Source organism: Homo sapiens, chromosome 6, assembly GCF_000001405.40.
Source record: "Homo sapiens chromosome 6, GRCh38.p14 Primary Assembly".
NCBI classification, from domain to species: Eukaryota; Metazoa; Chordata; class Mammalia; order Primates; family Hominidae; genus Homo; species Homo sapiens.
In genome coordinates this window covers 169,691,957-169,702,122 of record NC_000006.12, presented here as the reverse complement: position 1 = coordinate 169,702,122, position 10,166 = coordinate 169,691,957, and the positions used below count along the sequence as shown (strand labels likewise).

Here is a 10,166-nt window from a genome sequence, read left to right as displayed (position 1 = left end):
GCTAGGTCCGTAAGTGAGCCGGCCGGAAGCGAGGCTTCTCCAGCTGTCGCGAGATAGCGAAAGGGGCGTGGGCGCGAGGGGCGGCGGGCTAGTAACCATAGCGGCTCGCGTGGGTCGGCTGGCAAGTAACCATAGCGGCGAGCGTGGGGCGGAGTGTGGCTCGGTAGTCCTCTGCGTGCCCTCCTGGGAGCTGGGTGCTGTGAGTCCTCCCCTAGCGGGCTGGTCTCGGCGCGGAGTCGGCGCCGAACCCGAGCTGCTGCTCTGGGGCGTGTGCCTAGGGCGCAGGGCTGGAGCGCGGGGGCTGCGCGGTTGCTCGCGGCTCCGCTGAGGTCTCTAGGAAAGGGGGCGATTTGAGGGTTCCGCCGTGACCGCTTCCAACGGCGGACACGCGCGCTCTGGACCAGAGCCGTTGCCCGCTGTCTCGTCACCCGAAGCCTCCTCCTGACGCCGTGCTAGTGCGAGGGTCTCCAGGGGAATTCGGGGCACAAGTCGGGCCGGAGCATCCGGGCGGCCGCTTGAGATCGGCGCTTTGAGAACTGAGCGCATGTGGAGTTCGGAGGAAAAGGGCTCAGGTGGTTATTTTAATTAAAGCAGCTGTGTATAAGGAGCACTCAGATCTCTTTAAAAGATTCAGTAGTTTAGGAACGAACCAGGGCTGTAGAAATGCCCGGCCTCCTGCACCTCCCGTCGGTTCTGAGCTCCGAGGGCGGGAGCGTGGACCCTGAGGGCTCGTTAATTATGCCCCACTGGCCTTTCAACCTGCGTGGTAACTACCAGGCTAGGTTTTCCTAACTCGAGCCAAACAGCAAGTTTCTGACTTGATTATCACTAAAAGAGAAAAATTTCGATCTTTTCTAATCAGAAGGGAGTAATTTTCTCTTTTTAAAAATATTCGTATGTACATTAAAAAAACGGAAATGCACAGGATTTTATCAGTGGTACTCCTCGAGTAGTAGAGTTTTCATCTTTTTATGTATTTCTAAATTTTCTACAATTTACACACACTGCTCTGTACCAGTAAAGGAGTATTAACTCTACAGCTTCCAGTTTATCTGGGATTACTATCTTGTGTTTACTGACTTAACTTTAAGACTATGGTATCTTTAGCAATCACTTGTCACTGCCTTTTCCTGAAGTGCTTACCTAGTGTTAGGTGCACTAGAATCTCACTAAAATAATAAATTTAGTTTATTTTCCCTGACTTGTTCTGTGCATGTATGTACATGGATATTCCTGGGGATATCCTGTGACATTGATTATCCCCTAGGGTTGGCACAGCAGGGAGAGGAGGTAGGGATAAAAAACTTTATTATTTCTGCATTGTTTAAATGTTTTGTATTGTATTGCTTTTGTAATTCAAAAAAATGTTAAACAATTTATATTAGTGGAGGTAGGTTAAGTGCTGTAGCAATTCACCCCAATAGAACAGTTGCATGTTTCTTGCTCACACAGTCCTGTGTAGCGGTTTCTAGTCAGACGATTCCTTTGGGCAGCTCTCTGCAAGCTGCAGCCTAAAATTCTTCCATGTTGTGGTTTTTTTCCTTAGGCCCTCTGAATTCTCCGCATTTAGCCAGTGGGTGGGGAAAGAAGAGAGGCAGTGCAGGAGGAATTTATGGGCCAGGCACTCAACGACTACATGGCTGCACTTAATTGCAAGGGAAGCTAGGGAGTGTAGTTTAGTTCTGTGTCTAGAAGGAAAGGGAAGTGGCTTAGTGGAAAAGGAACAGCACTTACCGTAGTCTCTCTTCTGGTGACCAGATCTCTGCTCCACTCTTGATCCCACATGGAGAACACACTCTCCCCACCCCAAGGGGGACACTTTGTCAAGGTGCCTAGTGCAACACAGAACATTTCTCAGGATTGCACAGTTCTCTCCATCAGGCCTGGCTGTGGTTCCTCGTGGTCCAGAGCCCTATGGACTAAGAAGACAAACTAGTTGCTCTCCCCACTAAAATGCAGTGGTTAAATATGACCATGGTTTTTGTAACCATCTCCCTTTTGGAAAAGGGAGACACATGGCAGACACTGGTCTATAGCAGTTTTGAAGTGATGCTGGGGTGGAGGTGGGAGGAATTTCCCAACTAGACCCTGATTCTGCTATCTGGGAGGAATTCCCTTGTCCATTGTTCTTTTTCTTTCCTTTGAGACAGGATGTCACTGTTGTCCAGGTTGAAGTAGAGTGGCACAATCACAGCTCACTATAGCTTCAACCTCCGTGGCTCAAACGATCCTCCCACCTCAGCCTCCCCAGCAGCTGGGGCTACAAGCATGCACTGCCACACCTGACTACTTTTTTTTTTTAAAGTAGAGACAGGGTCTCACTATGTTGCCCAGGCTGGTCTTGAACTCCTGGGCTCAAGTGATCCTTCTGCCTCGGCCCCACAAAGTGCTGGGATTGCAGATGTGAGCCACTGTGCCTGGCTTGTTTGCTGAGGCCCTTGATTCTACCCTTAGTCCTTTTCCTCCACGGTCTCATCTGATGTGGCTATGAGGATGCTGTCTTGGAAGGCTGCCATAGCTCACTCCTGGAGCATGGCAGTGGGGACCAGGCAGTCAGCCCTGAGCCCACCGTGTGCCCTTACTCTGTTCTTTGCTTGATACTTCTTAGGCTTCATCGTGTCCTCACGAGCACAGCAGCTTCTGGTCTGTGTGTATCTCGTCAGCTCTGTGTGCTGGTGATGCCATTGTCGTTCTTCCTGTGTCTACTGTTCAAGCCTGACTTTATTTTCTTTTGGTCTCCTGGGCAGCTGATACCCTGAGGTTATGTGGAACAAAGGCTTGAGTGGGAAGGTAGCCATCCTAGGTCAGATCTTTGCTGAAGGGCCAAGACCTGATGGTCCTTTGTCCCTCCCTGCAGCCTCTCAGGGCACTCAGGTTTCCCAGTGCTGCAGCCCCTGCTCTTCGTACTTTCTTTTCGTGTCCATTCCGCTTGCACACCAGCCAGTTCTCTAGTCCAATTCCGTGTGTTGGCTGCTAATGCGTATTCTTTGCAATAATTTCCTGTAGGGCTGCAGGAGAGTAAGCCTGTGGTAAGTTTTCTGCGTTATTACAGGTTGTTGCAGTTGAACCTGTTTGTCACTGCCTAACGTGAGTCTTGAGCTTTTCCCCTCCTGAATTTGTTTCTGTGCCCCATCACTCAGTCACTCAGCAACATCCTACAGTGTCACTGAAGCATCCTGCTTCAAGGTACCCACATCAGTCAAGGTAGGCTGACAGAAGTGACCTCAGCTTCATGCACTAAATGTTTCTCTCTTGCTTACACAACAGTCCAGCCTGGTGTCCTGATCACCCTTTAGTGGGAGCAGCACAGGCTGCCAGGTGCCACCACCGTGGCCCCTCTCCTCAGCCTTTGGAGCCCTCCGCCTCCAGCATGAAGGGCTGTGCACGGGCTGTGACAGGACCAAGCCTGTGCATGCATGGTGTGCTTTCCAGACCAGAAATTGGTGCACGGCTGCCCTCGACTTCAGAGGCTGGAAATGTGGTCCAGCCATGTTCTTAGTGGCTCCAGGGAAGAAGCAGAAAGAGCTTGGGGAAAACTGCCAGACCACAGAAATAGAAAAATGAATATTTTAACATATAGAAAAATAACTTTTTACACAAATGATTTTAGGGGCCATCTGACCTCTGTTCAATGGGAGGATAGGTTGCACTTCAGTTAGCTGCCCTGGACTCATGTTCTCGACGTGGACACGTGTGTGTATGTGTGTGTGTGTGTCGGTGTGTCCCTGACGATGTTTCTGCCTGCACCAGACCCTCCCTCATCCCTGTCTGTACCACCCTGCCATGGAGCAGGAGAGGCAGGAGAGGTAGGCATTAAAGCCGAGTACACTGAGGCAGAGGTAGGCATTGAAGCCGAATACACTGAGGCAGAGGTAGGCATTGAAGCTGAGAACACTGAGGAACAGAGGTGTTGGGCAGCTGGAGAGGTGGGACATCAGCTCGTGCACACTGGGGCCAGACTGACCCAGAAATTCTGAGTGCAGGCTGGTGCTTCCTCGTCAAGGTGGCTTATGTGTCCTGACAAGGCTTCCTTCCCTCCTTGGCTTCACACCATTGTTTCTGTGAACTCTTCATACTAGTGAGTCATGGTGTTATTTCTTTACTATGCACTCATCAGGAAATGCAAGCACATTCATATTCTGCCTGTAGGGACCAGCCCGCAGGGTCAGTGGGTCTCTCCCCGTGCGCGGGGACGAGTGTAGAAATAAAGACACAAGACAAAGAGATAAAAGACAGCTGGGCCCGGGGGACCACTACCACCAAGTCACGGAGACCGGTAGTGGCCCCAAATGCCAGGCTGCACTGATATTTATTGGATACAAGACAAAGGGGCAGGATAAGGAGAGTGGCCATAGGTAAGGCCATGTGGGTCACGTGTCCACTGGACAGGGGGCCCTTCCCTGCCTGGCAGCCAAGGCAGAGAGAGGAGACAGAGAGAAACAACTTACACCGTTATTTCTGCTTATTAGAGACTTTTAGTACTTTCACTAATTTTGCTACTGCTATCTAGAAGGCAGAGCCAGGTGTACCGGATGGAACCTGAAGGCGGACTAGGAGCGTGACCACTGAAGCACAGCATCACGGAGATGGTTAGGCCTCCGGATTACAGTGGGCGAGCCTGACTGATGTCGGGCCCTCCACAAGAGGTAGAGGAGTAGAGTCTTCTCTAAACTCTCCGGGAGAAAGGGAGATTCCCTTTCCCGGTCTGCTAAGTAGCAGGTGTTTTTCCTTGACACTGAGGCTACCGCTAGACCTCGGTCCACCTGGCAAAGAGCATCTTCCCAGATGCTGGCGTTACCGCTAGACCAAGGAGCCCTCTGGTGGTCCTGTCTGGGCATAACAGAAGGCTCGCACTCTGGTCTTCTGGTCACTCCTCACTATGTCCCCTCAGCTCCTATCTCTGTGTGGCCTGGTTTTTCCTAGGTTATGATTATAGAGCGAGTATTATTATAATATTGGAATAAAGAGTAATTGCTACAAACTAATGATTAATGATATTCATATGTAATCATATCTAAGATCTATATCTGGTATAACCGTTCTGATTTTATATTTTATTATACTGGAACAGCTCGTGTCCTCGGTCTCTTGCCTCGGCACCTGGGTGGCTTGCCGCCCACACTGTCTTTATTTTGGAAATAATTCCAGTGATATCAGACGTTGGGTGTCAGGAGATAGGTTTTTGTTGTTTTTGCTTTTGTTTGTTTTTGAGACAGGGTCTCGCTCTGTCGTGCAGGCTGGAGTGCAGTGGCACAATCTTGGCTCACAACAACCTCCGCCTCCCGGGTTCAAGTGATTCTCCCGCCTCAGCCTTCCAAGTAGCTGGGACTACAGGCACGTGCCACCATGCCCAGCTAATTTTTGTATTTTTAGTAGAGATGGGGCTTCACTATGTTGGCCAGGCTGGTTCTTGAACTCCTGACCTCGTGATCCACCCGCCTCAGCCTCCCAAAGTGCTGGGAATACAGGCGTGAGCCACTGTGCCCGGCGTCTGCTTTTGTTTTTAAGACATGAAGGGGTCCTGTGCTTCAGGCATGGAAGAGGTCTTCAGGTCTTCGGATTGTCTTTCTCCTATGACCGTGGGCTCTCTGACCCCAAACCTTTCACCAAACCCGTTTTGATCGGACAGCTTTTTATATGTGTGCAGGCATACATGTGTGTGCACGTTTGGGTGCATGTGTGGGATTCTTTGTGTGCATGTGTGTATACAGGTGTGAGATTTTGTGTGTGTGCATGCATGTGTGTATGTGATCTCTTGCTTCACAACTGCCCATACCTTAACTTCTTCCTCGTAAGCTTCACTGCGCCATTCTTCCCAAGATCTCCTAGCACCATCTCAACCCTTGGGTCACCCTGGACTCTTGCTGTTGATTGCTTGTTCTAGTCTTACTTCAGGGTTCAGTCCCGATAGGACACAGATCACTGTGTAGACGTATGCAGGGAATTGTCATTTCGTTTCTACAGTTTTCATTTTGTAGGCACTTGTATTCGTTTGTTAATTCTGCTGTGACAAACTAATGCAGATTTGGTGGTTTAAAACAGCGCAAATGGATTATCTTACGGTTCTGGAGGTCACAAATCCAAAATGGGTCTCAAACTGCTAAAATCAGGGTGGCATTGGGGCTGGCTCCTTCCAGAGTCTTTGGGTGAAAACTCCTTTCTGTGCCTTTTCCAGCTTCTAGGGCCACCACAGGCCTCAGCTCCTGGGTCCTTTTTCTGTCTTGAGAGCCGGTAACCACAGCAGGTTGAGTCCTTCTCACAGTGCATCATCATCCCAACTCTTCTCTCTCTAGCTTAGTTAAGGAAAGTATTTAAATTGAATATACCCAGAGAATCCAGGATAATCTCTCTTCTGAAGCCCATCTGATTAGTAACCTCAATTCCCTTGGCTGTGTAGCCTAATGTTTGCAGAGGTTCTGGGGATTAGCATGCAGACATCTTAGGGAGAGTGTTACTCTGTCACCACCGTGCCCCGGGGTATTTAGACTCCTCACCATTCAGCTCATAGGTACTATTTTATGTAATTGGTGCAAAAGGGCAACACTGGGTGCTCTGTAATCATTTAGAAATGAGAGAAACAAGATGGCTTTCTGAGTGTTACCCTCTAAAATGGACACACTGTGGATTAGAGAAGCGATGTCTGTTTCTTCCACAGTTACTTGAAAGAAATTTTGGTGCAATGCCTAGAGGAAGCCACAGTTGATGTTTCAGCATTTGACATAACGTATCCAAAACGGAATCTATGCTTCTCCCCTGCCAAACCTGTTCTTCCCCAGCTCAGTAAGTGGGGTCTCTTGTTGTTCAGGCCAGAAAGCTAGGAGCCACTCCTGATTCCTCAAATTCCTCTTCAGCAACCAACCCGTACTGGCTTCCATCGGTCCTAGCTCAGAAATAACATGTGGTGTCCATTTGTTTAAACCCTGCTCTTAGGCTCCAGCACCAATGATCTTTTGAAAAATAGAAGTTTTAAATTTGTAAATATTTATTCCATTAAAGTTTTTGTTTACCCTTCTTGATATTTTTATACTTCTAAGCATTACTATTTTTGTTGTCTTAGCATCCACATCCTGTTTGGGCAAAAGCACCTGGATTTCCTCTGGGCTACCACCCTTCTCCCTCTGCTGGCCGGGACTCAGTGGAGAGGTCTCTGTCCCAGGCCTGACTTCTTGGCATCATTTCATCCTTCTGATTACGTGATTAATTCAAACATGGAAAGTGTCTCAGACTGGCCCAGACTCATGAGAAATGTTCAAGGATCAATGGAAAGAGATGCTTTCTTCCGCAGCGCCCTGCAACGGTGGGAGGCCACACTCAGGTGCTGCCGCCCATCTTTTTGCCACTGCATAGGAACAGACAATGAGCAGCACCTAGACAGGTGGAGCTGAGGGTTGGGGAGACCAGGGGGCCGTCCTGACGGTGTCGGTGAAGCTGCTGTAGCCAGTCATGTGCTATAACTGTTTAATTACATATTAAACTCCTTTTCTCTCCATTGGATTAGGTTGAGCTTGCTTTCTCTTCTGAGACATGAAGTAAACTTATTTTTCAATGTTATTTTTTAAAACATCTGCATTGTATTCCACTCAATGTAAGAACCGTTGCTACATTTCATATTATAATCAATGTTATGATGGACAGCCTTGAAGAAATACATTTGGGAAAGGTAGAATGATTTACTTGTTATAAATTTATAAAAGTAGAATTTTTGATTGCCAGATAGTTAAGTTTATGTCAGTTTATTCTTTTACCAGCAGTGTATGTGGAAATGTTTCTGTGTGCGTGCGTTGATGACTTATTTATTTATTTATTTTTTTGAGACAAAGTTTCGCTTTTGTCACCCAGGCTGGAATGCAACAGCGCAATCTCGGCTCACTGCATACTCAGCCTCCCAGGTTAAAATGATGATACTCCTGCCTCAGCCTCCTGAGTAGCTGGGCTTACAGGCGTCTGCCACCACGCCCGGCTAATTTTTGTATTTTTAGTAGAGAGGGGGTTTCACCATGTTGGTCAGGATGGTCTCAAACTCCTGACCTTGTGATCTGCCCACCTCGGCCTCCCAAAGTGCTGGGATTACAGATGTGAGCCACTGCGCCCGGCATGACTGTTACATTTAACAAGGCACAAATACATGTTAATTTTATTTGTTCTACGGTGTAGTTTAAGTCCATTCTTTCTTTGTTAACTTTCTGTTCTGATGACCTTTCTAGTGCTGTCAGTGGAGTATTGAAATTCCCCAGTATTATTGTGTTGCTATGTCATTTCTTAGGTCTAGTCATAATTGTTTTATGAAGTTGGGAGCTTCTGTGTTAGGTGTGTATATATTTAGGATTGTGATATTTTCCTATTGGACTAATCCTTTTATCATTGTATAATGTCCCTCTTTGTCTTTTTTTTTTTAAACTTGTTGCTTTCAAGTCTATTTGTTTTGTCCTATGTAAGAATAGCTTTTCCTGCTTGCTTTTTGTTTCCATTTGTGTGGAATATCTTTTTCCTCTCCTTTACCTTAAGTTTATGTGAGTTCTTATGTGTTACATGAGTCTCTTGAAGACACCAGATACTTGATTGGTGTATTTTTATCCATTCTGCCATTTTGTATCTTTCCAGTGGAGCACTTAGACCATTTACATTCAGCGTTAGTATTGAGCTGTGGGGTACTGCTCTATTCATTATGTTAGTTCCTGCCTAAATACCCTTTTTTCATTGTGTTATTGTTTAAGGGCCTGTGAGATTTACGTTTTAAGGAGGTTCTTTTTTGGTGTATTTCAAGGTTTTGTTTCAAGATTTAGAACTCCTTTTACCATTTCTTGTAGTGCTAGCTTGGTAGTGGCAAATTCTCTCAGCATTTGTCTAAAAAGACTTTATCTTTCCTTCATTTGTGAAGCTTAATTTTGCTGGATACAAAATTCTTAGCTGACAATCATTTTGTTTAAGGAGGGTAAAGATATGACCCCAATCCCTACTGGCTTGTAAATTTTCTGCTGAGAAGTCAGCTGTTAATCTGATAGGTTTTCCTTTATAGATTACCTGATGCTTTTGTCTCACAGCTCTAAAGATTCTTTCATTCTTCCTGACTTTAGATAACCAGATGACTGTACCCAGGTCATAATCATTTTGTGATGAATTTCTCAGGAGTTCTTCGAGAGAATATCAGCTGCTGTGTTAGAAGGGGTATATAAGCTTTCCCTAAGTTGGCGAGGGGAGGCATTCTGGTTTCTCAGGTGATGAGCAGGGCCTTAGGGTTCCCAAGAGTTTATGTCTTTTGTGTTTGGCTACCAGGGTGGGTAGAGACAAACCATCAGATGGGGGCAGGGTTAGGTGGATCTGGGCTCAGAGTCTCCCTGGGCAGGGCTTGCTGCAGCTGCTGTGGGAGACGTGGGAGTGGTTCTTGGGCCAATGGAGTTATGTTCCAGAGGGGATTGTGGCTGTGTCTGACGCATCACATAGGTTGCCAGGGAAGTGGGGGAAAGCCGGTAGTGAAAGGCCTCACCCAGCTCCCATGCAGTTTGTGAAGCTGGTCTTGCTCCCACAGTGCCCAGCTAACAGCACCAGGTTTAGATGCAGACAGCCTGTGTGTGGGACTCAGCCCTGCCCCAGGCCATAAGTTCTGCACTGAGAAAACGAGCATGGCCATAAGTTCTGCACTGAGAAAACGAGCATGGCTGGCTTTCAGGTCTTGCCCCTCCCCATCTGTCCACAGTGTTGGCAGCTCCTGTGCTCATATCTGTAGCACTTCCCTTTTACCCACTCCTGATTCTGCTCAAGGAAGTTCATGCCCAGTCTAAATTATCACATAATTCAGTTGGAAGCTTCTTTCACCCTATGACCTCTCCCTAATTCCTCTGGCTGTCTTTTCTGAGGGAGGACCCCTATGAGATACAGTCAGGGATGGCTTCCCTGGACTGGAGCTGGAGACTAGGAGTGCCTACAAGGCTCTTCTCACTGCTGCTTCTACTTTTATATTTCGCTTGGCTGCCTAAATATGCTTCAGCTCTAGGTAAGGTTACATCCTTCTCCTGTGATATTGATTTTTAGATTCCCCAGTGGGGGTGTTTGGAGGCAGTTTTCCCCCCTCTCACATTTTGGGAACTCACAGTTTTTTGCCTGTCTCATGGAATTTGCAGTGGCCTGCTGCTTCTTTAAAAGGATCTGTGAATTCTTTCATTTTTTTT

The 10,166-nt window shown here is 47.3% G+C and overlaps 1 protein-coding gene across 29 annotated transcripts in view, besides 3 other annotated features; it reads left to right on the top strand.

The window, feature by feature from the left end:
- Positions 51–140: an enhancer, noted in NCBI's record as "active region_25465". NCBI's record gives its function as "activates an Ori minimal core promoter by ATAC-STARR-seq in GM12878 lymphoblastoid cells {active_cell/tissue: GM12878}" and the evidence as "EXISTENCE:reporter gene assay evidence [ECO:0000049][PMID:35858748]".
- WDR27 (WD repeat domain 27) overlaps positions 94–10,166 on the top strand; it is a 275,610-nt gene continuing 265,537 nt past the window's right edge. For all 29 annotated transcript variants that reach the window (XR_007059231.1, NR_146875.2, XR_007059230.1 and 26 more), the window contains exon 1: positions 94–572. The gene's annotated coding sequence lies outside the window, so the exon portion shown is untranslated. The remainder of the gene's footprint in view (positions 573–10,166) is intronic.
- Positions 461–540: an enhancer, noted in NCBI's record as "active region_25464". NCBI's record gives its function as "activates an Ori minimal core promoter by ATAC-STARR-seq in GM12878 lymphoblastoid cells {active_cell/tissue: GM12878}" and the evidence as "EXISTENCE:reporter gene assay evidence [ECO:0000049][PMID:35858748]".
- Positions 8,996–9,496: an enhancer, noted in NCBI's record as "H3K4me1 hESC enhancer chr6:170092723-170093223 (GRCh37/hg19 assembly coordinates)". NCBI's record gives its function as "activates a minimal SCP1, AML or CMV promoter by ChIP-STARR-seq in naive H9 embryonic stem cells {active_cell/tissue: H9 hESC(naive)}" and the evidence as "EXISTENCE:reporter gene assay evidence [ECO:0000049][PMID:30033119]".